Source organism: Homo sapiens, chromosome 1, assembly GCF_000001405.40.
Source record: "Homo sapiens chromosome 1, GRCh38.p14 Primary Assembly".
Taxonomy (NCBI): domain Eukaryota; kingdom Metazoa; phylum Chordata; class Mammalia; order Primates; family Hominidae; genus Homo; species Homo sapiens.
Window position 1 is genome coordinate 31,750,574 of NC_000001.11, and position 27,903 is coordinate 31,778,476.

Consider the following 27,903-nt stretch of genomic DNA (forward strand, 5'->3'; position numbering starts at 1 on the left):
ACTTCCACAGGGAGAGAGCGCTGTGATTTACAAAGCAATCGTCCCTTCCCTGGGCTCCCTGCTTCCTTCCTGAGGCTGGTCCCAGAGCCCTGAGCAGGAGCCGACTGATCCCCTTGACACATGCTCTGTCATGTCCCCCCATGGCACCCCATCCCCAGCAGTGCTTCTTGCACCCCACAGTGTATCAGAATCACAGGGCGCAGTGGGGGAAAGAGGTGGCTTTTGAAAGGCACAGGCTCTACCCCTGCAGTCCAATGAAACTGGGTACCCCTATGAGATCATGTACCTAGCCAGAATGCCAGACCGCCCCCCCCAATAATTCTTCCTCCCCAGGCTGCTGACCTATCTACTCAGCCTCCCACCACAGAGAGCTGGGTCCCTGCCACCTCCCCCATGTGGCCAGAAGCTCCTCGAGAGCAGGGATCGTGTCTGACTCAGCCTGCTTCCCCCAAGACGCCCAGTTTCTTGCTGCCATAAAGCCCTTGGCCAAGAGGATGAGGCCCCAGTGTCCTGGGATGGCAGTCAAAGCCCTGGCCCCGTCTCCCTCCACCAGGGCTACCATCCAGCAGCTCCAGTCTCTTTATAGCTCCTACCCCCGGCGTGGTTCACACCTCCACGCCCTTGCACAGGCTGTTTCCTCTACCTCGAAAGCCCTTCCTCCTGAGAGCTTCCCCAAAGCATGGGGCGGAAGATGACTTGGGGCGGCTCACAAATGTGCCATTAAATGACACTGGATCCTGGACTGAGGATGTCAGGCTCTCCCAGGTCTCTTCATCAGTTTGTATGGGATAGTCTGGTTTGTGCCTGTTGTCCTGATGTAATTGATGGTACCCACCTCTTCCCTTTCATAACCTCAGATGTGTCACAGTTTAGATGATAAATTACATGGTCACTTTAATCCTTCCAACTGCATGAGAGATAAAGCCTGTGCAGTTCCAGACTTTAACACATCCCCAATGTGTGCTAATTCCTCTCTCTAACAAATGGAGAGGTAGGAAAAGCATCTAGCTAGAAGTTAATAACGGCGCTTTGTTTTCACTGTGGTTGTTTCTTTGGTTATCTTCTATTTCAGATAAATGATACTCTTTCCATTTAGGATATGAAACTTATTTTTAATATATTAAATTTTAAAAATGATACAATTGAAAGAGAAATTTCACAGGCTAGTGAATTCCTATTCACTCCTTAAAACTCAACTCCAAATCACCTTCTTTAGAGCACCTTCCTCCCCTTTGTGGTTTAATCCCTTACTCTTCCTCTTCCTTTGACATCTGGCAGGGTCACAGTCGTACCTATTACACTAAATTATGATGACCCAGCTACTACTTTGTTAGGCATCTACCATGTGCCAGGCACTGGGCACTTACTCTCATCCTCTCACTGAACCCTCCCCACAGCTCTGTGGAATAGCTCTCACTACCCCCGCTTTACAGGTGATGAAGTGGGAGTGAAGGAACTTATCAACAGTCACTCAGCTAGTCAGTGGTAAGGTCCAAAACTGAACCCGGACTGGGCGACTTCAGTCTGTGGCCTTGACCACCACTGTCCTAGTTAGTGCTCTCCCTCCCCCACCGGTGGGCAGACAGTGTGCCTAGCTCACCTCCTACTCATTCAGAGCCAGCCCTAGGCCTGGCACAAACTCTACTCTGATAAAGACATGAAGATGTGTGTGAGGGATTGGCTGGAACTCAGTCCCTGCTGAGATGTCTGGGGATGTCTGGGCCCCGCTCCCCACCCTATGGTAGAGCACACAGAGCCCCACCAGCACAGATCTGGGCTGGAAGGACCTTCCAGGAAATACCACCACCGTGTGTGCTGGGTCTCCCCGCCCCCACCCTGCCTCCTCACTGCCTGGGCCCCCAACAGGCAGGGAAGGCCCCCACTTCCTGCTGCCAGACCAGGATGGCCGAGAGAGCAGCAGGGTCTGAGCGCTGGGAGGGAAACGCCAATCTTAGGACAGGGCTGGGCAAATCAGAGGCAGCTTCCTAGAGGGGACAGGGCTTGAGCAGTGCTTAGAAGGATGCAGGAGTTCTGGATAACCAAGGGCAAACACCATTCGAGGAGCCTCAGTTGAAAGGGTGGGGGAGAATTCGAAAGAAGGCTCAAAAGCAGGTGGTAGCTAGGTCCCGGGTGGGGCTTGGACACCAGGCTGAGGAGTTTCAGTAGCACTGGGGATTTGCTGGGGGCTCGATCAGGGGGTGACACACAGATAACTGGGGGTTCTGAGGCCCCAAGATGGGCAGCACCTTGTCCAAGTCACAGAGCAGCAGTGGCAGGTGGGGTTTTGAGCCCACTCTTGCCTCCCAGGAGACCCCAGGTTCACCTGGTGGCCACACCTCAAGGATGGAGCCTGATGATGGGGAGGGTGAGCCTGCAGCAAGCAGCCAGGGGCAGGCCAGTGCCCACAGGGGAGGTAGGGATTGTGGCCAAGGAGAGAGGCGTGCATGAGGCGGGGTTCTTTCTCCCAAGTATCACTGGGCACAGCCATTCCCACTGCCCAGTGCCTCCTCAGGATTAGAGGGTCAGTGGGCAGGAACTGCAGGCTGGCACTGGCCATCAGGAGCTGAGCCCTGCAGCTGGCACTAACTCTGCGGCCCGCCTTCCAGCCCTGACCTCAGCCAGCCTCCGTGCCAGTCCTCCACCAAGCTCCTTCCTGCCTGCCTTTCTTTTCTTCCTTTTCCCCCACTTAACAGATTGCGGCAGCAAGATGGCACAAATTTATGGCTCAACTCACCAAAAATAACAAGAGATCTATCAAAGGCAGTTTGCGTGAAATTAACAGGCGCCTGTACCCTCTTGTCAAACTCACTCGGCTCTGAGGCGTCCCAGGCACTCCGCCAGTCACTGCCCACCAGCCCCCAGCCCAGTGCTCTTCCGGTACCAGCCCAAGCCCACCCTGCTAGGCCTCACTGTGGATCTTCCTCGGGGGTGTCCCAGAGAAGATGAACACAGCTTCCCTGCCCTGGTGCCTGGGAGAGGGGCCAGGACAAGGGTCTCACCCTTCCTGCTCACTACCATCCCCACGAATCTTGCTCTCAGTCTGGCAGCTGCAGGTGCCAGTCCATTCTCCTGCAGCCCAGTGGGGAGGAGACAAGGGGAGGAATGGAGGGGGCCAAAGGCTCGGCAAAGGTGGTGCTGCCACAAGGCACAGACGGTGCCACGGACCCTCAGACATGCCCTGACATGTGGAACAAACAGTCATGTGCCCGCTATGTCTCACACCAGAAAGGTTGGGCAGGAGGGAGGGGATGGCAGAATAGAAGAGCTTCCTGCCTGCCAAGGGAGGGGAAGGGGCTGTGCCAGCCCAGCTCTGGGCACCAGTGTGCCATGTGAGCCCACTTATGACAGCTGATGCCACATCATCCCATGCCAACTCCCTACAGGGGCCCTCCCTAAAAAGCAACCCCAAGGAAACATGCCAAGTAGGACAAGGGGCAAGAGCAGAGGTCAGGCTTGGGAACAGCTGGGAGCCCCAGCTCAGGGCTCCCTGCTCAGAGAGACACCTGGCCTCATGCCCAGGAATAATCAGGCATCCAGTCTCCACCCATCTCTAGCCCCAGAGGCCTCTGCAGAGGCTCTGATGATGGTGCCTTTCCCATCACCGGCCCTCTCTGATCCCCAAAGACACCCCAGCTACCAACCAACTCCTGCTTCCGGCTTCAACCAAGCCCAGCTGGCTGCTCCTGGCTCTGTGCTCCACATGGCAGCCCGCCCAGATGGTGCCCGCCCATGAGGGCAGAGCCTTGCTCCGTCCACTGCAGATCACTGGACCGATGGACCGCAGGGAAAGCCAGACAAAAGAACCCGCCTGCAGCTGAGCACGATGGGGGAGACCCCCACAGAGTGACAGGCAGTGGTGGCCATGCAGGAAGAGCCATAAGCCTCCTGATATACGCCTGGCGTTCTCCGCCGATGTTCAACAAAGAAGCAAAATTCAATTTCTTCCTACAGGCACTAAATCCCAGGCCAGCCTCCAGGGCCTGTAACCTACCCGCGGCCCGGCTGTCACTCGGACGGCTTCATTGACCGCCGTTAGAGGCCAAGCTAGCCTGGGAGAGAGGCCACAGCAAAGCCACCGGGCACTTGCCGTGGATGGGCACGATGTCAGATGTCTCATTGGAGAAGCCAAGAAGGCCCCCATCGAAAGTACTGGGTTAGGCTACTTTCAAGATAACTACCCCCTCTAATTAATTCAGGGATACCTCCCCATTCTACAAAGAAACCACTGCCCACCAAAAATAAAGGGATCAACTCAAGGTAACAGTCAAAGGTAGAGGCCAACTCCAGGGCTCTAGCCAGCAGAGCAGGGCTGGGGACAGGCCGCTCTCCTCCAGCACTCCTAGCAGCCCTCACATGATACCCTGTCTCCTTGTAAACACTCTCCCAGTGAAATCCAGATGCCCTTTCCATCCTCTATCCCTGCATCCTTGATCCTCATGAGGATAAGCCAGCACCTGTATCCCAAATGGGGAAACTGAGGCCCAGAGAGAGGAGAGGCCTCCCTGTCGGTACCAGAGCTGCAGACCAGACCCCAGACCTGCCTCCTTCCCATCCCCATGTCATCAGTCCCTGTTCCCTCCAGGTCTCCTGGTCAGTCCCCGGCCCAGCACTGTTCAGCGGGCACACAGGATCCAGCTGAGGCCCTCAGGGCCTTGAAGCTGCAGGAAGCAGGGTCTGTAGAAGGCAGCCGTGGCTGAGGGAGCTGGGGTGGGAGCGGGAGCAGGCAGGACTCAAGGGCTCGCAGAGCTTTTGCCCAGTCAGCAGGAAGCTCTAGCAGCTGGCGGCCTCGGTCCCAGAAGACATGGGTCCTGAGGGGGAAGACGGGACACTGGGAGCTGAGCCAGCCCAGCCCTCCAAGGCAGCCTGGAAGCTCAGGCCTCTTCACCCAGGGACACTCTTCCTTGCCTCTCTCTGCCCTGACCCCGGGGCAACTGCCAAAACTCACTGACCTGTGTGGACAGGAATGCATCCCTGCTCCCTGCCTACTCCAGCCTCCAGGCAAACTTGTCAACTTGCAGCGCCAGGGCCTGCCACGATCATTCCCAGCCTTGGGCCTTTGTGCACCCTTCTTGCTCTGCCTAGAATGCCCTCATCTCACTTCTGCTTGTCCTTCAGGTCTCTGTTCCTGTATTACTTCCTTCAGGGAGCCTCCCCTGGCTGCCCAGTTAGGAGGTCCCTCCCTGGGTTTATATATCACCCTGCATTATCTGATCTGTGCCCCCATTCATCTAGCCAGTCTGCAAACTCTTCAAGAGTGAGGTCTCACTGCCATGCATTTTGGTGACCGCAACATTTGGACAAGGCTCAGCAGAGGGGTGACATCAGTGAACAGCTACATGCATGGCCGAGGATCTGCCAGGATGGACACCAGGGACACTGTCAGCCCCTGCAGACCCCGCCCCACCCAGGCCCTGCTGAGACTCACCATATCTCATCTCGGTTGTGAACAGATCATTGCTGCTCCCCGAGTGCAAATCGGCCTCAGCAGGTGGGGCTGGGCCCCCGGGCACCAGGGCATTGGACAGGGTGTGGGCAGCAGGAGGGCCTGGAGATGTGGTGGTGGTGGAGCCGGCCCCCGCCTCTCCAGGGCAGCTGCAGCCTGGCTGAGCAAAGCCGCAGGCCCTGCCGGCAGCGCGGCCACACTCCTCACTCCAGCGGCAGAGCACACCACAGGTGAATTGGCTAGAGTTGTTGTTGTTGATGAGCAAGACCTCGACAAAGCGGAAGGCTAGGGCAGCGGGCGCCAGCAGGCGCGGGGCCTCGGAGGGCTCAGCCGACAGGCACAGCTGCACGAAGTTCTTGTCGAAGTGCAGGAAGGTAAAGGGGCCTGAGCCGCTGCACAGCTCCAACCCCGCTGCCGCCTCTGCCTCCTCCTCTTCTGGCCGCCCCACCTCTGACTCCGCCTGGGCCACCGCCTCCTCGGGGCTAGGCCGCAGGCAGGTAAAGTTGACCAGGTAGTGGTCCAGGGGCAGCAGGCGGGGGGCAAAGTGTGCGCACACCTGCTCCTGGCGGTTGAAGCGCAGGTAGAGGGAGTACTTGGTGGGGTCAGGGTTCTCCAGGGTCCAGGAGCAGCCCGAGGCGATGGTAGGAAAGAGGTCCTGCAGCGAGAAGGCCCCGTAGAGCACACCCGAGGCCAGGGCAGAGCAGGCACTGGGGGCGGGGTCGAAGGCGGTGGCCAGGCGCAGGGACAGAATCACAGACAGTAAGAGGGGACAGGCTGGGGTCATCCTATGTCCCTTGCCCTGTGGAGAGAGACAGTGGTCAGCGGGCCCCCAGCACAGCCAGCATGGGCTCTGAACCTTCTATGGTGAGCTGCGGGAGTGGGCCTCATAAGTTAAGACCCTGGTCTTTGAAGTGTCACCTGGGTCCACCTGTGTGAACTTAGACAAGGGACTTGACCTCTCTGAGCCTCAGTTTCCTTACCTGTAAAATGGACCAATGATAGGACCTATCGCACAAGTTTCCTACAAGGGTGAAATAAGTAAGGGAAAGGACTCGCGAGAGTGCCTGGAATCTTGTGAGCCCTGAAGAAACAGTAGTTGTTGTTGCCATCGTTCTGTTTCCTCAGAGTCAGCCCATCAACTACAAGCATATTCGCCTTGCATTCAGATCCAGCCCCAGCCTCACCATCCAACCTGTATTCTCCATAACTCTTGCTCTCCATCCCCGTGTGTCGTGATCAGCTGTGAGGCATGTCACCGCGTAATCCTGTGGTAATTGTCAAAGTGGTGATGTTTGACTATGATTTGCTTTTTTATAAATTAGAGCAATTTGAGGTTATTCCTGGAACAATGTCATTCTCACTCACTTGCTTTACTGAGAGGGAGAGAAAGGGGCGGAGTTACAGCCAGTGTGCCAGGAACTGCGCACAACCTGAGCCATGCCCACAGGAGGGCACTGTCAGTGTGGACGTCACATGTATCACTGCTGTGGATTTCCTGGTTGGAATAAGGGGGAGAGGCACCGAGTAAGGGGACATTGGGCTTGAGCCCCAACCCAGCCAGCCACCTGCTGGTGGGTGACCCTCATGAGTCTCAGTTTTCTCATCTGTAAAATGGGTGCAGAAATTCCCCCTCTTACTTCCCTCTTCCCCTCCAGCTCCATGGGATTATCTTCCAAGGCCTGGTTCAGGGCCTGCTACCCCACCCCCCACTACCCACCTGTGAAGCCACCAGCCAGTCGTGACCTCTCTCCTATACTGTTTCCCCAAGGCTAGTTCATTCAGCTTATGGGTCTTCCAGTTCCTAAGAGTGGGGACCCAAGCTTGTTGCTTTCTACCTTCCCTTAAAGTGCTGCCCTAAGCTGAGCTCCCAACAGGTGTGAATGTACTCCAGGTGTGGGTGGGCACCTAGGACCCAAGCCCGACCCATACAGACACACAGAGCAGTCAGGCCAGAGTGGGTAAGGGCTGAGGATGGGGGGAGCTGCAGGTGCCCTCCCACCCACCAGGCCAGGGCTGTGTCACTGCCCACAGCCTGCGCAACCTCTACCCAACTGCCCAGAAAATGGAACCTAGCGCGTGGTCTGAATCAGCCCCACTTCCAATCCTACCCCCCAAGTAATCCAAGCGGCCTCCCTCCTGCATGCCACAGGATAGCTCACAGCACTGCATGGGCCCCCTAGAGCCCAGCTGGTCCTCATCAGAGGAGAAAAGATGGGGCTAGGAAAAGGGAGACAACCCGCTCCAGATCACACAAAGGTGGCCACAGAGGACGCAAGCCCAGGATCTGAGGCCCAGCCCAGGCCTGTCTCCCTCCACCAGTAGCCTCTGCTCCTTCCCTAGGCTTGCTGCTCAGGCTTCAGGCCAGATGGACCAGCTATTAGCTCTGGGGACTGAATCAGAAACACAGGACAATTCACAGGTATGACTAGATTCTCCCAAGACACAGTTGCTCCCAGGGAACAGACTTCCCCTTGGGTCTTCAGGAGTCTAAACAGCAGGCAGAGGGGGGACAGAATTTAGAACCCCAACTTTCCAGTCCCTGTGCAGCATCCATGGAGCTCCCCACTGCTCCAGATCCCACATCCCTTCATGCTGCACCTCCAAGCCAGGCCCAAGCAAGCATCTTCCCCTCCCAGCCATACAGGGGCTGGGGGAGATGGTGGAGTAGCTCCAGGCAGACCTACTCACTGCAGAGGAGCCACCCCACCCTCCTCCCAAGACCCACATGGAGTTATTCGGCGGAAGCCAGACAGGCTGTGCCTCTCCCCCCAACCACCCACCCTCCTCCTCAGAGCTGAAAAAGGGATCAGACCCCTGGTCTTTCCCACCCTACATCATGCCTGTCCCACACTGCTCAGCTCGCCCCACCTGCTGCGGCACTAGCCAAGCCAGCGGCTGATGATGAGTGACATCCAATCCCCCTGCTGCCCCCAATTATTTTTAAGCCGCAAAATTCAGGCCATGGCTGCGGCTCAGTGGAGGGGAGGTAGGGGCTCATTATAACCGGCCTCCCCTCCCCCACTTACAGCAGCTCAGGGAACCTCCCCTCACATACACACCAACACACATGGGTTTGAACACCCTTGTGCCCTGAGGACACACACACCAAAGCATGAGGGCACAGATGTTCACAGGAGTTCTGCATATGAATGGATACATATGTACACGGACATGCACACAGGTGAAACCCACAGATTCATGCTGTCACACACACTCAGGAGTTAACACGCACACACAGGGGTGTAGAGGCTTACACTTGTACACATGCACAGAGGTGCACACGCATTCTCGACTGAGAACACACATGAGTATCTGGCCCTCTGAGGCTCAGCATATGACAGCTAAGTGTCAGGCAGGATCCTCTGCGGGGTCTTCCTTTGCATGTCTGAAGCTGGATCTCCCTCCCCTACCCTGCTCCTAGGCTGCTGCTCCCTACTCCACAGCCCCGCCCCATCAAGAAGCACAAGGTCCACATCCTTCAGAGCCACAGGCTGGCTTCTCCAGAATGGAGTCACTTTTAACCCAATCCAACCCCCCTCCTCCCCTCAGTCTCCTTCAGACACCTTCACGCTCATTCTGGGATTTCGTCCTGGACATGCGTAACCCTCACTGTGCCGGCTATGACATAAGACCTTTTGGGGCGCCTTTTTATATTACTTCCCACCATTCAAAATAAGGCAAAGACCCAATTCCAAGCTGGGTCACAGACAGCCACTGGTTCATTGAAGACCCTCCTGCCTGTGTATAGCCAGGCCTGTCCTCCTGGGGGCACTGATGACCCAGAGGCCTCTCCCTGAGCCACCCGGGAAGGGGACCTAGAAGGATGATCCTTGCCTCACAGGCAGCCCAAGTGGCTCTTAGTCATGATTAACCCCCCTGAGCCTGTTTCCCTCTCTGTGCAATGCAGACCATGAGCCTTGCCCTGGGGATGGCAGACACCTCATCAGCCTCCCAACAAGTTCCCAGCACAGAGCCTAGCTCACAGCCCTGTCTCCTCTCTGTCTTTTCAGGACCTCATAAACGCTGCCCTCTTGCCTGCTGAGGTACAGGGCACTGCCTCTGGGAAGGCTCTTTGGGTTGAACCATAAGTGGCTGGCTACCTCCAAACCCAGGAAGACCACAGACCCATCCCTGCACAAGAGTTAGATAGGAGAGGTACTAAAGTCAGCTCTGAGGAAGAACTTCCTGGGCCAGAGGTGGCTGATAGAGAGGAGGATCAAAAGGCCTCCTGCCTCAGAGATGGGTGCGGAGCTGGCTGAAGTAGTCTCCCTCTCACTTTTAACCCTACCAAGGCCCCTCCTCTAGGGGGCTGGGGGCTGCCTTCACCACATGCCCCTGACCCCAGCAAACCCAAGAATCTCACTCTGCCCAAACACACTCAAGTCCCCTTTCTTTCCACCCCTCAGGGCTCCCCAGCTTCCCTTCTGCACCAATAAAGGAATTCAAAGCTTTCAGCAGCTGAAAGGGCCAAGGCAAGACTGTGGGGTAAGGGGCAGAGCAGCGGGAGAGGGGTGTCTCAGGCCCAGGGCCGGTCCGGGATTCCCAGGATGACTCCCATTCACGCTGGGTGGCGGGGGAGGGGCGGGCCGGGGGAAGGGGCGCGGCGACGCGCACATCCGTCGCGTTTATCCACCTGGCAGCTCCAATTCGCCCGCCCGTCACTCACCCTCCGCCTCCCCGGCGCTCGCCGCCCGACCTGCCCAGGCCGCCACGCAGGCGGTGACCCCCACTCGGTGGCTTTGGGTCCTCTGCCAGCGCTCGGACCCAAGGACAGGGTCCTCAGGAGCCGCTCTCCTAGAGCTCTGTCGCCCTGGGGGACGCACACCCTCCATCCTGCCTCCGGAGCTGGGGACTGGGCCGAGGGGAGGGAGCGACCCCCTCTGTGCAGTCCTCCCGCTCCGACTGCCAGAGAGGGTCGCTCTCTTAGGGGAGGGGGTTCCTCCTTAAGGAGGAAAACGCGGGCAGAACTGGAAGGGGGACAAGGGGCAGCCCTCGGCCCCTGGGGGCGGTGCCGCGCGGGCGGCGGGGGAGGGGGCGGTGACTCAGCCGCCCTCCGCCCGCCTCCCCGGAACTTTGCAGCAGCTGGAGCCGCCGTTGCTACAGGAACCGAATGCTTTTGTTCCCCAATGTCAGGGCTGCCGGGGCAGGCGGGTGATGAGGAGGCTGCCACTCCCCGGTGGGACCCAGGTCCGGCCACACTACCCAGAGGACTTCCAGCCATCACAGGTTCGAGTCCCCTTCCTCCGTGCCACCTTCCCTGCCCCCAAGCTACTCAGGCCAAAGCCAGGTTTCTTCAAACTCCTCAGGCCCTCAGGCCCGGTGGCCCTGCTAACTCTGACCCAAGGCAAAGGGCCCTGGGAAATTCCTGATGGTGTCTGACCTCCTGGGGTCAGTAGAGGCTCTTCTGTGGCTGAGTGATTTCCCACCTGGGCTCCCCCTAACAGGCTGCCTGCCTTCGGGGACTCTGACTGGGGTTTCTTCTCTGTACTTCTCCCACCTCTGCAGCCTCTACACTTGAACCAAGACCCCAGAGACCATGGCCTGGCTTTCACTAACATCCCTCTGGCCAGAGCTGATCCCAGAGAAATATAGTGGGAAGTTGCAGGACCAAGGAGGAGATGAGGGAAACTGACAGTCACTGGCTCCCCCTGCACCCATACTTTGGGGGAAAAGTGGAGACTGGGGGCTAAAGGTGTTTCTGTCTTTATTATACTGGGGGTTGGAGTGAAGGCACTGGAACCTGTTTTTCATTTTTCTCCTTTGGGATTAGGAGTGGAGTGGAGAGGGGCCTGACCTTGGCCTTGAACAGAAACAGCCCCACACCCCTATCAATATTGAGCATTGCTAGGTGCCAGACACTCTATACAAACAACCTAACTTCATTCTCCCAACAGCTATATGAGGCAGTGATCACTGACCCATTTTATAGAGGGTCAACTGAGGCTCAGAAAGATTAAGTAGCTTGCCCATGTCACACAGCTTTTGAACGTAGGTCGTCTGACCGAAAGCTGAATTCCTAACTACTTACTCAGCTTCATTACTTGGGGGTGGGAAGGGAGGGAGGGATGGGGGCAGATACCAGATGGAACCTCACTTTGTGTTACAGAAATGCAGACCACGCACGCACACCCCAGACTAGACATGTCCTTTTGAAGAGTGATACAGAAAGGGGGCAGAAGAGAGAGCGGAAGGAGGAGAGAGGGAAGAAGAGGGGAAGATCTCTTCTCTCAATCTTGGTCCAGAGAAGACCCTCCCTAACCTCCCCACTACCATCACCAGGACATATCCTGCGCAGAGTCCACACTGCCCCTCACCCCAGTAGCAGTGCAGAGGATACTCCCCAGGTGCTTGCTCTGTCCCAGGGTCAGGTGGATTCCCCCACAACCGACTCCATGCGCAAGCCAGGCAGAGCCCACCTTTGCCCCCAGCCCTCACCTCATGGGAAATGCCATGGGGTAGAGGCTCTCTGGCAACACCTGACCAAGCACAAACAAGCCCAACCAGGCGTCCTGGAGCCCGCGGCCAATCCTGCTGGTCTGTACGTGAAGGCTCAAAGGACTCTTGACTTGCTGCTGGGGTGAGCCCTCCACCCCACCCCAACCCATCCCACCCCCAGAACATATGGCCTGACAACCAGGAGTGTTTGGGCATGGCTAGCACGAGGAGGCACCTGGCCTGGCCCACCAATCTCCTCTCCCCAGGGATTTCCCAGCGTCAGTCCTGCAGCCACCGCTGATGCTCTGGCTGCGGAAACCCGGGGTTGCCCGCGGGAGAAGGGGTGGCGGGTCCCAGGCTTCGGGCAGGGGGCGCCAGAGGACGCCCAGGAGCCCGGCCGGCAGCTGGCGAGGCGGGCAGGCAGGCGGCATCTCTCGGCCCGGGCGCCCCTCCCCCCGGCGGGCAACAGACCCGTCGCCTGCTCTGCACGGGCCGCGGCGCGGAGGACTTCCCCCGGCTGTGCCCTCGGACCAAGCTGACTGCGGGAGTGGCCGCCAACTTCACAGCCTACAACCCCCTCCGGATCATGCCGGCCCTGGGGCTGCGGGAGGGTGCGTCTGGTGCCCAGCTCTATGACCAGGGGTGGGAGGATAGGGATGGGGGATGGACAGATAGACTCCGGCCAAAGATGGACACGGGAGTCAGGGATGCGGGTCCAGTCGGGATCTCAGCTGGAGGGGAGGGGGCGCGGAGCAGACACGGGGGACACGGCCCCAATTCCAAGCTGAGGGGAGGGGACTTGCAGCAAGATTGGCGAGGGAAGGCGGGACTCCGGTCAGATAGATATGGGGGAGGGGGCGCTAGGGGCAGAAATAGAGAAGAAGCATGGTCGGGGTACAGGCGCGGGGGAGGGTAGAAACTATGGGCAGACATGGATGGGGACAGGAAAGACTCCGGGCAGTGATGAAGTGGAGGAGAGGAGCAGGGTCCGGCATTCAGACCGTGACGGGAAATAGAGGGGGAGACACAGTTGAGCTGCAGGTTAATGGGGGGGCTCTAATAAAGGTGGGGGGCACACTGCCCGGATCCAGGCCGAGATAGGGAAAGACTCGAGACAGCAAGCACGGTCTGTGTCAGAATTCTGGAGGGGGAGACTTTAGCATAGATGGGTAAGAGGGTCGGTCCAGGCTGGGGGAGGGGGGGGGCCGAGATTAGAGATTCACCAGCGATTAAGGGGGCCTCGGCCCTAGGTTTGGGAGTTCCCCAGAAGATGGGGGTGGGCGAACGCTGAACGAACTCAGTTCGGGCTGGGGGAGAATTCAGCAGAGACGGGTTAGGAGAGCGCCCCGAGTCCGGGCCGGTGCGGAAACTCGGGACCGCGCCGGCAGGGCTCGGTGCGAGGCCAGGTCGGGGTCTGGGGCCGAGCACTCACCTGGGCGCCGTCAGCAGCAGGAGCGGGGGCCGGCGCTGGCGGGGGCGGCCACGGGGCGCAAGTTTGCCATCCCTAAGTCGGGGACCGGGCCGGGCGCAGGGTAGGTAGCTGCAGCCGCGCGGAGGGCCGAGGCTCCCGCTCTCCCGGGCGGCGGGTGCAGAAAAGGCGCCGCGGAGCAGCGCGGGGCGGGCGGGCGGGCGGCGCCGGGCCGGGCGCGGGCTCCTGCCGCCGCCGCCGCCGCCGCCTCCTTGCCGCGCCGCCCCCCGCTCCCCCGCTCCCCCGCCCCGAGCACCGCCCGCGCCGCGCGCCGCCTCCTATTTGCGGGCGGCGGCCGCAGCCCCGGGCTCTGAGAGCCGGTGCCGCATCCTCTTCGGTCTCTGAGCGCCGCCGCCGCTGCCGCCGAACCCGGTTCCTCCGGCCGCTCCGGCCGCTGCCCGCAGCGCGCGCCGGGCCGAGTGACGGCCGAGGCGGGACGCGGCGCCTGCGCGGGCCGGGCCCGGGAGGGGGCGCGCGCCGGGCCGGGCGCGAGGAGCCGCGGGAGAAGGGGCGGGGGCGACGCGCGCCGCCTCCTGTTAAAGGGGGAACAGCGCCAGCCGAGCCGATCGTGCCCCCCACCTCCCCGCCTTGGGCCCCAGGCGCCGGCGCGGGAGAAGCCCTGGGTAAGCCCCCGCCCAGCCCGCTGCTTCTTGGACCGCAGAATGAGGCGATCCGCGACGCCCCTCCAGCTATACCCATGCCGGAGGCTTGTCGCGCCGCCAGGGTGTCCCGGGCCCTGCAGGCTGAAGCATTTGCTCACCTTCCCATGTGCATTGCATATTGCATGTCCCTGTGCATGCAGGTGCCAGTCATGTGCGCTGAACTTTGCATATGCATACAGGTGCCCTAAGTGTGCACTGCCATGTTGCCTGGGTAGGTGCATGCAAGTGCCACACACATGCACGGTGTATTAACATGTGCCCAAGTCCTGAATGCATGTTGCTTGTTCCTGTGCGCAGGGATGTTATATGTATGCAAGCTTACAGGTGCCACATGTGTGCTGAGGACTGTGGGTAACTCATGTAGCAGCCACATATGTATACTGCAATGTGACATGTTTGATGCATACTGTAAACTGCAATGTTGCACGTCCTTAGGCACGGGGATGCTACACGTGTGCAGTGTGTTACATGTTTTCCTGAGTCCCTGTCTATTCCCACAAGTGCCTTTCCCTGTGCCAGGGGCGCCCCCATGTTGCATCTGTTTGTGTAGAAGCAGCAGAGATGTACAGACCCACCCCTTCCCCATCTTGGCACTAAGCCCAGAAACAGTTGGGTGGGGCCTGAGCCCTCATGGTTCAGGCGGTACACAGGGAGATGCCCATGGTTCAGGGCTCTGGTCAGGCAGTTTGTGGCCTGGGCATGTTGCCATCAGTAAGGTAGGCCGACCAGGGACGCACCATTGCAGCCAACACAAGTAGGTTAATCCCATGGCTTTGGTCAGAGGAGAAACCAGCAGGGGGCAGCTTTGCAATAAGGGTGGGATGGTTTCAGCTTTGCGATGAGGGTGGGATGGTTTCAGGACCATACTTTTTGAAGGTTCACTAGCCAGGAAGGGCCAAATTTTCAGTGCAAAGAAGTCCTCATTTCAGCAAATACCAACCCCACCTCTCCACTGATGCCCCTTAAGTTGTGGCACCCTCAAGATGGGGCAAGAAGAGAAAAGCCTACCTCTTCCCAGGGGCAGTACCAGGAAGAGGCATAGAACCGCCCTCTTTTCCCTCCTTCTGTCCCTCCCACCTCCAGCAGCCTCGGTGACATTTGTTGTGAGTGATTGTGAGAGATTATCAACTTTAATGGAAGGAGGTAATAAGGGACGATGAAGGAATCTCACCTGTCACCTTAAGAGAATTTATGAGGCCTTATGAGGCAGGGAGGAGGGCTGGGCCGGCACCTTCCCTTTCGCTGCGGATGCCCAAGGAGGCCTGTGCCTTGGGCCTAGCACTGGCAAGCAAGGCTCCTAGGGTTTGCTAGGCACCCTCAAACACAGTCAGACATCTCTGGATTTCAAGGCTCAGCTACTATGTGAAAGCCAGGCCAGGCAGGCCTTGCCAGCTGCAAAGTATGTTGAAAGCCACCCCAGGGCAGTGGGAAATCCGGGCCCCCTCCTTACATGGGCACTGGGAGGGGGAATGGGGTTGCTAGACTGGGGCTTCAAGGAGGTAGGCAAAAGTGGGGAAAATGGTGGAGACATGGGTTGCCCACAAGGATGCAAGCCCCTTAGAAATCTCCAGGACCCTGTCCAAAGCTCCAGCCCCCTCCTCTCCTACAGGGAGCTTGCTTCCCTCTTTTTGAATATTCATGATCATTAGCATATTAGATCAGAGAAACCTAGGCAGGTCTCTTGCAGATGTGATGCAGCTGGATGCCTGAGGCCCCCCCTCCTCCTTCCCCAGGAGGCAGCTGGGTGAGAGGTGATGGGAGGGACTGGCCCCAGATCGACAGCAGCGTTTTTGTCTGTCTCTCTGTTCCTCGCTAGCCCTCTGACTTCTTGATCCCTTCTATCAGCCACAAAAATGTACGCCCAAGGAAGCATAGGTAGACAGAGTGAGGGACTGACAGAGATGGTGTCCCTTAGCCGGGGGCTCAGTAGGGGCAAGGTGGGGAGGTCAGCAAGGCAAAGGGGGTTGTGGGAGCTGTGTGGGGAGAGCAGGACCTCCCCAGGGTTGTACAGGAGTGAGCAGGCGAGACTAGGGCTGACCTCTGGAAGGCTCTCCCTGGAGGCACCTCTCTGCATCAGGGTTTCCCCACCTCCTTTCCCAGGAGCCCCTGCCCTTCCAGACTCACTCTGGTAATAATGCCGCCCAGGAGGACTTGGAGTAATTACAAATCGTTTCCATATTCAAATCCAGCTGGTTGAAGATAAATTACTTCTCTGATGCTCAGGCGGGGGTGAAAAGAGCAAGCCTTAGCCCCAGGAGGGGCCTCCAGGGAGCCTGGGGCAGAGACTGGGCATGGGAAGGGGCACCGGCCAGAGCTTGAGCACAGAGGGCTTGAGCAGAATAAAGGGACATCCCTCTGAACCCCCTAAGCTGGACCAAGGACAATCACTTCAGCCCTTTAGCCCCATTGGGGCCCCCTCTGGAACCTCTGATGGGATTATGGGGATCCACTCCACAAGGGCAACTGCCTTGCTGTCACCCTGCCATGCTAGATGACCTTGAGAAAGTCCCTTCAGCTTTCTGGGCCTCTGTTTCCTTATCTGGGAAATGGTATAAATGATCTCAGTCTGTGATCCAGTGAGATAAAAGATGGATTAGCAAGGGTTACGTCCCTGAAGGGGCCTTTGTAAGTAATTATTTTATTACCAATTAATTAATATTTTTGTCAACAATAACAACCATCAATGGCCCAGTTGGAAGGCAGACAGCCCTCAAGGCCTAAGCCGGTGGGGCTGCTCAGGAGAGGATGGTGTGTCGAGGAAGGGAGCTGCCCTGGCCTCACCCGCTTGGCCTCAGCCTTGCCTCCTGCTGGGCTGGCCGCTGCTATGCTTCGTTGCCCTTTAAACAGATGAGAAAATGTTCTTCTTCCCTTCCCAATGATTTATTTGGCCCAGAGCCTAGGCAGGTTTCCTTCCAGCCAGTGGGACCTAGGAGCACCCCTCACTCAGCCCTGTTCACCACTGCCGTTCAACTAGGCACCATCCAGGGCCACCCAAAGCTGTGGGTGCCAAGGTCTCCTTCCAGTCCCGCTCCTACCCCATACACCTATCAGGCGCTCATAACCTGTCCCTAAAGACACCCAAATCCATGTGACAATCTTCTGCCCCAGAGTTCCTATGACCAACACCTGAGAGCTCTGAATGGCATGCATCCTGGAGGCCATCCTGGAAAAGGTAGACTGGCCTTCTCTGCCTGTGGGAAATCCTTCATGTCTAGCTTCCATCCTTCCTGCTGCAGATGCCAAAGGGGTTAGGAGCCTGGGGCAACCCAGGTAGGGTGTTTGTCATTTTCTTGCTGCTGCAGATTGGGGAAAGAAGAGAGGATGCGTTGCTCACTAGCCAAATCTTCCCAGAAATGCCTGGTTTGTGTGCAACTCCTTGAGCAGCACCTGCATTCTCTGGCCCCTGGCCCCTAGGGCAGAGGATAGAGCAGCCCTTTAGGGTCTTGGGTGATCTTTACATACATGCCTTATACCAGAGGATGCACACAAGTGTATATAGAGCCTGGCGCCTTTATTCATTTATTCAACAAATATTTATTGAGTCTACTATGTTCTAGGCACTGGGATCCCGGCCATCAGCAAGTCTTGTTGCTTCTACCTCCCAAAATATCCCACATCTATCCACTCGTTACATCCCCACTGCCAACAGGGGAGTCCACGCCACCATCATCCAGTGCCCAGATTCTCCCTTACTTAATTTCTGGGCTTCCACTCCTACCTCCCCCACCTCAGTCCATTCTCCTGGAGCCCACTGAACTGAGCCATCTCTTTAAAAGTGTAAATCAGGGCACCTCTTAAGCCTGCTAGTGGCTTCCCACTGCACTTGACAATGTGGCCTTCCAGACCCTGCATAGCCTGGCCCTTAGCAGCCTTTCAGACCCATCTCCAGTCCCCTACCCCCACCCCACACCATGCTGCAGCCACAGAGTTCTCCTTGCTGCTCTTAGAAAACTCCAAACCCTTCCCCCGGCAATTCCCATGGCTGACTCCTTATCAAGAAGGTCTCAGCTCCAAGGTCACTTCCTCCAGGGAGCCTCCCCTGACCACACCTCTAAAATAGCCCTACCCCACCCCCAGTTGCTTCATCCCATACCCCTGTTATATTTCCTTGGCAATACTCATTGCTCTGAAAATATGTTGTTTATTTACACACATGTAACTTGTTGCCCCCCTGGACTGTGAGTTCTGTGAAGTCAGGGACCTTGTCCATCCATTCACAGCTGGGGCCCGTGGCACCCACCACCAGGTACAAGGTAAGTAGTCAGCAAATATTCACTGAGTGAATGAATGGTGAAATGGCAAGCAGACACCTTGCCCTCACAGAGCTTTTGATCTGTGACTCTTGACTGATGTTTGTGCAGTAAAACACTGGTTCACAGTTTCCCATGTGATGAACCAGAAGACTTCAGGCTCCGAAGCCACACAGATCTGGATTCCTGCCTCTGTCCCCTCACCGGTTGTGTGACCTTGGGCAGATCACTTATGATATCCAAGCCTCAGTTTTCTCTTCTGTAAAATGGAAACAATGATTCCAACTTAGCAGAGCTGATGTGGGTCATATCAGATGAAAAAGAGGAAGTGTCTCACACAGTGCTATGCCCAGATGTCATCTGCATGTAGATGTCATCTGCATGAATGTGGGCCCGTTTCAGACTTACTAGGACTATGAGCTGTTCCAGGTTCTGGGGACACAGAGATAACTCAGAATTGGGGCCCTGACCTTAACACCTTCCCAGCAACCCCCATATCCCCAAAAGGGAGAGAGGTGTACCAGTGGGAGCTCTTTTCTGCTGAGATCATTGCAGATAAGGAGGCAGGAGCCAAGGTTTTGCCAGTGTGATGGGGACAGTGTGTGGGGGGGATCCCTGCAGAGAAACTGAATCTGGATCCACTTCTCTGCAGCACCTCTTCTCCTTATTTGGAAGTTCCTCTTCCTTTTCAGCCTTCCATGTCTGTGTAAACACACACACACACCATTCATGTACAGATAAAGCCATATCTACACACTGACACAGTTGCTGGCCCATAGACGTATACACTTGACACAACCCCAGGACATAAGTCCCCTCCATTTTTCTGGTCCGATGGGTATCTCTCTGGCTTATTTATTAGTCCCATCACCTCTGGCTCTAGACTGAGGTCAGACACAGTCCCTCACAGGAGGGAGCCCAGGCACTCCCCCTTGGTAAATTCTTCCTGAGGTCTAATCCCACACTCCCCTGCTATAGGTCTTAAGGTCAGTGAGCCCTGGCAGCCATTCCAGACGGCCGGGGATGACAGCACCATACCCTGTACCCACACCCGAGGCTGGTGGATATTCAGGGGGGCGGAGGCGCCTGAGAAGAGCTGCTCCCAGCTTCCTGCCATGGGCGGGGGTGAGGAGCATCCCTCAGGGAGGGGCTGGGACGCTCTCAGCAGGCATGGGGCACGCTGGCAGTGGGGGAGGGCCCGTGTGTTCCACCGCCTGGGATGCCCCAGGTCCTCTCTCCTGGGCTCTGTGCCACCTGGATCCTGCTGAACTGGGCTTGTGCCAAGCAGGACACATGGGCTTAGCAGGCAGGGGTGCAGGGACCTAGAGGTTTGGAGGCACTGGCTTATCCAGCCAAGCCCCTCTGTGGGCCTGACACTCTTCCAGCTGCTCTGCACCTATTGTTCAAATGATCCCTCAGAACAACCCTTGCAATCGGTCTGGTCACCCGCATGTCACAGATAAGGAAGCTGCTTTACAGAGAGACTGAGACAAGAGCCAGGCCTCTGCCCCATTCAGGGTTTGCTAGAGGCCCTGCTTCAGTTCTGCCTCATCCTGCCTCGGCCTGGTCCTCCTTGCCACCTCCCAGAGGACAGACCAAGCACCAACTTTTGAAACAATTTATTTCGGGATTAGAGTTGATCTTCCAAAGAAGACCAGCTCCCTCGGGGTGAGAGATTTGGTCGGTGGGGGTCTGACTCCCAGGGCTCGACACCTGCTAGAAGAGGCTGAGGCTGGACACCTAGGTTTTGGGGGAGGCAACCAGAGTTGCTGAGGGTGCTGAGAAGGACAAAATGCAGGACCAGTGACACCTACATGCCTCCTTGGTTGGCACAACCACACTTCTTACAGGACCACACGATGACACACCCCAGGAGGACATCTGTCCCTCTTGCTGGAGAGAAACGTACACTAACTCATGCTGGCAATAAAGCAATCACTGCAGGGTTGTGGGGGTTGCTTCTGGCTTACCACCAACCCTGGCACAACTCTGACCTCAGAGGGTCCCAGGCTTGGGGGTGAAGCCTGTGGATGGGGTGGGGGTAGGGGTGTAAGATTCCCGAGCCTTGTGGTTAGAGGGAAGGGCCCTGGAGCACCTCGCCAAGTGAGTGTTCTGTGTGTCAGAGTGGGAGTGAGTGGGGCTGAGCTCCGGTACACGTGTGGGTGGTTGTGTGCGTCAATGTGTAGGGGGAGAGTCTGTGTGTGTATATGGTGTGCCTGTGTGCAGGTTTCGTGTGTGTCTGCCTAGGCTTTGTACGTCAGAAGCCTGGACCTGGCTCTGGGATCTCTGCTGCGTGTGCGTGTGTGTGCCTTTGTTTGCAGGGTATGTGGTGTATTCATGCATTTCTTTCTGTGTCTGTGCGTGTGTGTGGTGTAGAATGCATACACACCTACGATGCTGGGGTTTGGCATCCACTCAGTGTCTGGGCGAATGTGAGGTGTATTGACAGGGCAGTGTTTGCGTGTCATTGGAGTTTGTGTGCAGCCAGAGTGTGATGTTTCCTGGGGTTCAGTGTGTGCCTGAACCCGTGTGTGTGTGTGTGTGTGTGTGTGTGTGTGTGTGGAAAGTGTTTGCAGGCCTGTGTGTGTCTGTGCCTTTGGTTAGTCAGGGTGCCTGGCATTTGCAGGCCCAAGTGTGACTGCGTCTGCATGTCAGTGGTATGTGTCTGTGCCAGCCTGTGGTGCGTGTCTCTGTGTGTGCCTGGCAATGCTGGCAGGCCCTCGACTTCCAGTGAGGTCTGTGTGTGATACTGTTGGGTATGTGTCTCTGGGTGTCCTATATCTGTGTCTGGATGAGGGGTTTGGATCCACTGTGGTGCATGTCTGCAGATCTGTACCTGTGGCCTTGGGATTCTTGTCTTTGGAGACTTTGGGAACTAATCCTTCCCTGGAAGCCCCCCACCCCCTCCTATTCCCAGGCCGAATCCTCCATCGGGCCCTCCCTTACAACAAGATTGGCCAGCTTGGAGCCTGACTTTCCACTGGAGGTCCCGCTCCTGAGGGAACCCTGAGGCTGCACAGCCACCGGATCAAGGTCACATATGGGGGGACAGAGGCTCCCACTCCTATGGTGCCCTTACCCCTTACCCTCACAAAGGGCCCCACCGCCGGAAGCCGCCCGCGCTCCCACACCTTGTGCAGGTCTCCCCTGAAATGAATTTTAATTTCCGCTGAGGGCAGGCGGCGTCGTGAGTCCTGAGCCCGTGGCGGCGGCGGCGGCGCGGGTGTGGGGCCGCGCGGCCGGGAGCGGGCGGAAGAGAGCGCGAATTTGAATTTCAAAGGCATCTGGAACCCAAGTGCTTCTGCGTTGCCCGATTGTGTGTGTGGCGCTTTTGTGTGTCCGCGAATGCGCGCGTGCGTGTGTGGCGTGTGTCTGGGTGTTTTATGACTGTCCTCCGTGAGGCCGTGTGTGAGCCCTTGCGTGGGCCGTGAGTGCGGCAGGGAGCGCGGTGTCCGGGGGCCGCCTGTCGGTGTGTCTGTGCGTGCTTGTGCGCTAGCCTTTGCCTCTGCGAGTGCGTATTTTTAGGACCGAGTCTGTCTATATGAGCCTGTGTCTGTGTGTGTGCGCTCCCGGCCCTGCGTGTGTCTGTGAGCGTCTGCCGGGGCGCGTGTGTGCTCGGAACCCCGCGGTGGTGTGCGGGTGTGTCCGTGTGTCTGTGCACGTGCAGGCGAGCGTTCCCATCTGTGTGTGTGCATCTGAGTCTGGGCTATGTGTGACTCAGGGACCAGTCTATGAGCCTGCCTGTGCCTTTGAGCCGATACCTGTGTGTGACTCAGGGACGAGTCTATGAGCCGATACCTGTGTGTGCTTGGGTGTCTGTGTCGTGGTGTGTCCCTGCAAGCGTTTGTGCCTGCAGGTGCTGGAGTGTGTAGCTGTGGGAATGAGTGCGTGTGAGTGTGCGGAAGGGGCACCGCGCGAGGGAGCGCCGGTGCGGAAGGCTAAGCGAGCCCGCGCCCTCCACGGACGGTGCCGCCACCCCCTCCCTCCGCCCCGCGCTATGTGCCCCTGTGTGCCCGCGCCGCCGGGGCCGTCTCTGGGCTCCGGGAGGGGGCTGAGCGAGCGGCCCTTTCCTCCCAGGGACCCCGGGCCCGCCGCCAGCCCTGGGCACACCCGCCCCTTCCTCCAGCGGCCCCGCTCGCTGACCCACGGGCACTCGATGGGCACTCGGGAGGCAATGGCCGGAGAGGATGGGCAGTTAGCGGGAGGGACTGAGTGGCGCCGGCTTCACGCTCATTCTGCTGAGGGCTTGGGGGCAGCTCATCAGTCTTCCGCAATGGGCCTGCTCGCTGTGAGATCTTCGCTGTCTTGTGGCTGAGCTGGAGACTCAAGCTAGAGTGCAGGAGGGACCACCCGCGTCCGAGGCAGCGCCATCCCTGAGCAGATGCATGCACACGCTGCCATAATTCAGACACACCACATTCCCCAGCACAGTTGACCCAGCACAGAAGTCTGGGACAGGCCCCTAACATCGGGCTCAGGGACAAGCCCACCAGTGCACACCCAGGAGTGCACACATACACACACACACACACACCCCTGACCCAGAGACTCAGCAAGTCTGTGCACACCCCACACTCAAACAACCCCATTTCTCCCTGGATCTTGGACCCTGTGGGGTGAAGAAGGCCAAGACTCAGAAGTCCCAGAGAATAAGGGCAGCCTTGAGTCACTCAGTGTCCCCTCTACTCTGATGGGCTTTGGAGAACCAGAGGTGGTTCACCCTACATCCTACCTCCCTGAAGCTCTCAGTCAAGGGTTAGCAGGAAAAAGCAGACCCCAAATCCAGTCATTTCCATCAGGTGCCACACCACAGCCAGAAGCAGGCAAGGGTCAGGGGCTGCCTCTTCATGGGGATGCTCCCCCCGCCAACCCCCCGCCACAGAAAACTGTCTGGGCACAGGGAGGTGATGTCAGGATGTCCAAAGGACAGTAAAGGAGGAACTACAGATGGAATGATGGTTTCGCGGCCTCCTTCCCTGCCAGATTGGGAGCATTTCGAGAAGAGGTGTGGGCTGACTCCTCCCAGTAATGCTCAGCTACAGGCCTGGCACCAAGGGTCTGCTCCATTTAAAACACTTATTGACGGAATGAAGGAAAGAAGTCAATGAGTCAGAGAATGCAGGACCACTTAAGAAGGGAGTGAGCACTGTACAGAAGAGGCAGAAATAGTATACCCAGGCTGTATGCATGGCTGTGTGCGTGTGTGTGTGTGTGGTGCTTATGCTTGAGGGAAGATGTGCGAAATGAAGGTTAGGCTGGAAATACATCACTGAGGGCCTCGTAAGCAAAACCAGAGGTAGATTTTATTCTGAAAGCAAAAGAGGTCTATGAAGGGTTTTGGACGGGAATGAATCATAGCCAAGTTTGTTTCAGAAACAACTGGGGCAATGGAAGGTGGATTTGAGGAGTCAAGATTGAAAAAGGGGACTGGATGGAGGCTCATTCATTCATTCATTCAAGTAATATTTATTGGGAGCTTACTAAAAGTGTCCAGCACTGAGTGAATCGAACAGACACAATCAGTCGAACAGTTCCAAGACTCCAAGGAACTTCTAGAACCTGACCACATAACTGCTGTGTTTATCTGGAGTTCACCTTCTAGTGGGGAAAGGGAGGCAGACACAAACACCTAAATATATGGAATGCATGTGTGGACAAGTGCAAAGAGGGAAAATAGTGTCCAGCAAGGGTGCAGAAGTGGTGGATGAGAATGGGGGCTGTTTTAGGAAAGGAGGTCAAGGAAGATGTCTCTGAGAAGGTGACATCTGAGCAGACCCCTGAGGTACGTGAGGGATATTTAGAGGAAGAGCTGTTCAAATAGGGGAAATTGCAAGTGCAAAGGCCCTGAGGGGGAGTGTGCCATTTACTCAGATGGGGAAAGACTTGTGGGAAGTCGATGATTTCTATTTCAGACATGCTGCATTGAGGTGCCTTCAGGACATCTAGAGACAGTGTCCAGGAAACAGGAGAGATCTGGGTAAAGATAGGGATTAAAGAGGCCGGGTGCAGTGGCTCATACCTGTAATCCCAGCATTTTGGGAGGCCAAGGGGGGAGGATCACTTGAGCCCAGGAGTTTGAGACCAGCCTGGGCAACATAGTGAGACCCCTTCTCTGCAAAAAAATAAGATTAGCCAGGTATGGTGGTGCACCTTTGTAGTCCCAACTACTCAGGAGGCTGAGGCAAGAGGATTGCTTGAACCTAGGAGTTCAAGGCTACAGTGAGCCATGATCACTGCCTGGATAGAGTAAGATGGTGCAGAGCAAGACCCCAACTCTAAAATATAAATGATAGGGAGTGAAGAGAATTGAACCCTAGGAACTGACGCAGAGGATAACTGCAGGCAGGGGAAGAGGGAGCAACCTGAGGTGTGAGAGTCAATTGTGGGGAGACTGGATGCTAGGGATGGGGAGTGGGGAGTGGAGACCATGTGACTAATGTGGTGTCCCCAGAATGGTCCTGAGAACAGCTGCTCCCCCTCCCAATCCTACCCAGCTGCCGGGGATAAAGCTGGGGCTATTTCATCACATTTCAGACGGGTTCAGTGGTATGCTGGTACAATTTAACAACTGGCTTGGGGGCGGGGAAGTGCAGCCCTGATTTGCAGCATTTGCCAATTTCCATGGTGTAAATCCTCCCATGATGGCCAATTTACATTACCAATGTGAAGTTAACTGGCTGGCAAAATTCCTAAGAATTTAACAGTCAGCTCTCACAAGCTGGTATGGGCTGGCTCTAGCACCTTCTCCAGACCCTTTCCAGAGAGATGGGGAGAGGCAGAAAGCCTAGGGTGGCGGTGGGGGGATTTGCCTTTCAGTTGGAGGAAAGCATTCTGGCCTCCCCATCTTCCCTCTCAACACCCAAGTCATTCCCCAGAAAGAAGCTCTGGAAACCTCTTCTTTGTTCCCACTGCTCCTCCAGTTCTAACTAACAATTTGGCATCCTGCCTAGGCCCTCTTTCCATTGCATTTCCTACTTAAACTATGGGCTGGGCTGGGCGTGGTGGTGCATGCCTATAATCCCAGCACTTTGGGAGGCTGAGGCAGGCGGATCACTAGAGCCCAGGAGTTTGAGACCAGCTTGGGCAACATGGCGAGACCCCGTCTGTAATAAAAATACAAAAATTAGCCAGGCATGGTGACGCACGCCAATAGTCCCTCCTACTTGGGAGGCTAAGGCAGGAGGATCATTGAGCCTGGGAAGTCAAAGCTGCAGTGAGCCAAGATCACTGCACTGCACTGCACTCCAGCCTGGGCAACAAGAGTGAGAACCTGTCTCAAAGAAAAAAAAAAATGTGGGCTGATACCACACCCCCACCCACTCTCCCTGCTTCCCTTCTTTAGAAGCAGATGCCGGAGAGCCACGGGCCATGTCATCTTCACCCACAGCCAGAGCACCGCTCTGGTCAGTGTAAACAGATGGCCTGGATGTTTGGCCCAGCTCTGCCACCAGCTCCCAGGAGGTTCCTCGCCCTATCTGTTATCAGTTTCCCCATCTGTAAGGTGTTGGCAAGTGCTAGCCTCTCCAAAGACCCTTTCAACTGTGAGATTCTGCAATTTCTATCACTCCCTGTCTCAGCCCTGATGGCAGCTCGGGGCCTTCTCTCTCAAACAACCATTTCCCCAGCCTCCTAGACCCTCCCTTCTCCAGCGGCCCCCCACTGCCTCTGACTCCCCAGGCTCCCGGATAAGGGGCCCAACTAATTACATTAGGATTTCATGCTAATTAGCAAACAATTACACGGGCAAATTGGTGCCTAATTTGGAGCAATAATGACAGCTCCATTGGCCAAGGAACATAGCTGCAGACAAGACTGCTCCCCTGGCCTGGTCCTATCAGGGCCACTGGAGGATGGGAGCCAGCTTTCGGCTCTAATCTGAGCCAAGGCCTGCAGTTCTCCTTGTAGGATCTTTAGGCAGCTGTTTATGCTGATTACATGGTCAGCCCAGGCCTGTGCTAAGTGAAGAGGGTAGAGGAAAGGGAGGGAAGGTGAAAGCGGGGATGGAGGGGCACTAAGGCCTGCAGGGCTCACTTCAGTGAGAAGATGGGGAAGATCTGGGGAGGCAGGGCAGAGGGACAACAGCATGGGGAAGGGGAACAGTAATTAATGTGAACAACGGCTTGGATGCTAGAATGAGCCATAGGAACTTATGAACAGCTCCTATGGAGAAACCAGGTGGGCCAGAGCACAGGAAGGTAGGGGAGCTGAGGTCACAGAGGTATATAGGGCCAGACTGGGACTGTCATTCCAGGAAATTTAAACATTCTCCTGGAGGCCTTGGGAGCTACCGAGGCTTCAGGGTGGAAGGAGTAGACTGTGCTGGGACTCATCTTAAACTCAGGATCTTGGATCACCAGCAGCCATCCATCCCACCTCCAGCCTGCCATGGGGTCCCATTTGGTTTGCCCTCTTAACATCTCTAGAACCCACCATCCTTGTTCAGGACCACAGATACCATAGCAGTAGCTGCCAGTCCTGTCCCCCCACCATTCCTGTCCGTGTTTTCTCCACGTGACTACTCTATGGCACAAACCTGCCTCCTATTCCTCCCCTGCTTAAACTCTCAATGTCTCCCCAGTGCCCTCAGAATAAAGTTCCAACCCGCCGTAGACTGCCCAGCTTTCCCTCCCTTCTTACCTCTGCATCCACCCTGTTCCCTGGGAGCTAGACACCGTTTACAGATCGTGCCAGGCTCTTTCACACCTCCAAGCCTTTGGCCGTGCTGTTCCCTCTGCCCAGATTGCTTTCCCAGCACCCCTTTTTTGTTACCAAATGCATCCTCCCGGGCCCCCTCTTCTGCCTCCCAGATTTCCCCAGGAAGTATCAATTCTTCTCTCCCCTGGGCTCTGTTTGTAAACTCCTTCTTCTGTGGCACAGGTCACTCCGTATCAGAGCTCTTTGTACCAGGGTCTGCCTGTTCCACCCGACTTGGAGCTGATTAGAAGCAGGGCCTGGGCCCAACACAGTGGCTCATGCCTGTAATCCCAGCACTTTGGGAGGCTGAGGCGGGCAGATCACCTGAGGTCAGGAGTTTGAGACCAGCCTGGCCAACATGGCGAAACCCTGTCTCTACTAAAAATACAAAAATTAGATGGGCATGGTTGTGCATGCCTTACTCCCAGCTACTCGGGAGGCTGAGGCAGGAGAACTGCTTGAACCTGGGAGGCGGAGGCTGCAGTGAGCCGAGATGACGCCATTGCACTCCAGCCTGGGCAACAAGAGCGAAACTCCATCTCAAAAAAAAAAAGAAGAAAGAAGAAAGAAGAAGAAGAAGAAGAAAAAGAAGAAGAGCCTGGCACTGATTTACTTGATGTCTCCTTCACCCAGCACCAAAAGTGAATGGAGAGAGAAGACAAAGGGACAGCATAGAAACACTTTCTCCTGAGCACAGTGGGGAAACTGAGGCAGAGGCCCAGAAAAATATTTATGAACCTGGTGAATGCTTCTCTCAGAAAGGAAAGCTGGGTCAACTTCCAGCCTCTGCCCATTGGAGCCAAGCCCTGACCCCATCCCCTTTAAGGTTTTCTCCTGAAGCACCCCACCTCCACCAGCCCCCACCCTGGTGTTTTCCCCTCTGCTTTCAGTAAGTGAGATAAAGAAAGTCCCTACAGCCAAGAATTCCCAAAAAGCAAAGGCAGCTCTCAT

The 27,903-nt window shown here is 56.7% G+C and overlaps 1 protein-coding gene, 1 long non-coding RNA gene and 1 other non-coding gene across 34 annotated transcripts in view, besides 11 other annotated features; all 3 read right to left on the reverse strand.

Moving 5' to 3' along the window:
- ADGRB2 (adhesion G protein-coupled receptor B2) overlaps positions 1-13,767 on the reverse strand; it is a 37,224-nt gene extending 23,457 nt beyond the window's left edge. For 7 of the 32 annotated variants that reach the window (XM_017001909.2, XM_047426190.1, XM_047426189.1 and 4 more), the window contains exons 1-2: positions 6,628-7,074; positions 5,426-6,242 (exon numbers count right to left, since the gene is read on the reverse strand). In XM_017001909.2, the coding sequence (XP_016857398.1) occupies positions 5,426-6,242; positions 6,628-6,648 (838 nt within the window). In that variant the 5' untranslated portion in view covers positions 6,649-7,074. Of the gene's footprint in view, positions 1-5,425; positions 10,007-10,109; positions 10,409-13,310 lie in introns of those variants that run through there. The other 25 variants (XM_047426186.1, XM_047426180.1, NM_001294336.2 and 22 more) reach the window with 11 other exon arrangements.
- Positions 500-579: an enhancer, noted in NCBI's record as "active region_652". NCBI's record gives its function as "activates an Ori minimal core promoter by ATAC-STARR-seq in GM12878 lymphoblastoid cells {active_cell/tissue: GM12878}" and the evidence as "EXISTENCE:reporter gene assay evidence [ECO:0000049][PMID:35858748]".
- Positions 2,605-3,219: an enhancer, noted in NCBI's record as "H3K27ac-H3K4me1 hESC enhancer chr1:32218779-32219393 (GRCh37/hg19 assembly coordinates)". NCBI's record gives its function as "activates a minimal SCP1, AML or CMV promoter by ChIP-STARR-seq in naive and primed H9 embryonic stem cells {active_cell/tissue: H9 hESC(naive and primed)}" and the evidence as "EXISTENCE:reporter gene assay evidence [ECO:0000049][PMID:30033119]".
- Positions 3,220-3,833: an enhancer, noted in NCBI's record as "H3K27ac hESC enhancer chr1:32219394-32220007 (GRCh37/hg19 assembly coordinates)". NCBI's record gives its function as "activates a minimal SCP1, AML or CMV promoter by ChIP-STARR-seq in naive and primed H9 embryonic stem cells {active_cell/tissue: H9 hESC(naive and primed)}" and the evidence as "EXISTENCE:reporter gene assay evidence [ECO:0000049][PMID:30033119]".
- Positions 4,200-4,806: an enhancer, noted in NCBI's record as "H3K4me1 hESC enhancer chr1:32220374-32220980 (GRCh37/hg19 assembly coordinates)". NCBI's record gives its function as "activates a minimal SCP1, AML or CMV promoter by ChIP-STARR-seq in naive H9 embryonic stem cells {active_cell/tissue: H9 hESC(naive)}" and the evidence as "EXISTENCE:reporter gene assay evidence [ECO:0000049][PMID:30033119]".
- Positions 5,412-6,017: an enhancer, noted in NCBI's record as "H3K27ac-H3K4me1 hESC enhancer chr1:32221586-32222191 (GRCh37/hg19 assembly coordinates)". NCBI's record gives its function as "activates a minimal SCP1, AML or CMV promoter by ChIP-STARR-seq in primed H9 embryonic stem cells {active_cell/tissue: H9 hESC(primed)}" and the evidence as "EXISTENCE:reporter gene assay evidence [ECO:0000049][PMID:30033119]".
- Positions 6,018-6,622: an enhancer, noted in NCBI's record as "H3K27ac-H3K4me1 hESC enhancer chr1:32222192-32222796 (GRCh37/hg19 assembly coordinates)". NCBI's record gives its function as "activates a minimal SCP1, AML or CMV promoter by ChIP-STARR-seq in primed H9 embryonic stem cells {active_cell/tissue: H9 hESC(primed)}" and the evidence as "EXISTENCE:reporter gene assay evidence [ECO:0000049][PMID:30033119]".
- MIR4254 (microRNA 4254) lies at positions 8,087-8,162 on the reverse strand. The gene has a single exon (NR_036216.1). It is a non-coding gene; the product is annotated as a microRNA 4254 (primary transcript).
- Positions 10,404-10,583: a silencer, noted in NCBI's record as "silent region_574". NCBI's record gives its function as "represses an Ori minimal core promoter by ATAC-STARR-seq in GM12878 lymphoblastoid cells {active_cell/tissue: GM12878}" and the evidence as "EXISTENCE:reporter gene assay evidence [ECO:0000049][PMID:35858748]".
- Positions 11,385-12,238: an enhancer, noted in NCBI's record as "H3K4me1 hESC enhancer chr1:32227559-32228412 (GRCh37/hg19 assembly coordinates)". NCBI's record gives its function as "activates a minimal SCP1, AML or CMV promoter by ChIP-STARR-seq in naive H9 embryonic stem cells {active_cell/tissue: H9 hESC(naive)}" and the evidence as "EXISTENCE:reporter gene assay evidence [ECO:0000049][PMID:30033119]".
- Positions 11,385-12,449: a biological region, named in NCBI's record as "H3K4me1 hESC enhancer GRCh37_chr1:32227559-32228412".
- Positions 12,180-12,449: a silencer, noted in NCBI's record as "silent region_575". NCBI's record gives its function as "represses an Ori minimal core promoter by ATAC-STARR-seq in GM12878 lymphoblastoid cells {active_cell/tissue: GM12878}" and the evidence as "EXISTENCE:reporter gene assay evidence [ECO:0000049][PMID:35858748]".
- Positions 13,768-18,129: 4,362 nt separating the features above from the next.
- LOC124903930 (uncharacterized) lies at positions 18,130-18,960 on the reverse strand. Its single transcript, XR_007065631.1, has 2 exons — positions 18,780-18,960; positions 18,130-18,517 (listed from the first exon to the last, which is right to left on the reverse strand). It is a non-coding gene; the product is annotated as an uncharacterized LOC124903930 (long non-coding RNA).
- Positions 18,567-18,646: a silencer, noted in NCBI's record as "silent region_576". NCBI's record gives its function as "represses an Ori minimal core promoter by ATAC-STARR-seq in GM12878 lymphoblastoid cells {active_cell/tissue: GM12878}" and the evidence as "EXISTENCE:reporter gene assay evidence [ECO:0000049][PMID:35858748]".
- Positions 18,961-27,903: the final 8,943 nt, after the last annotated feature.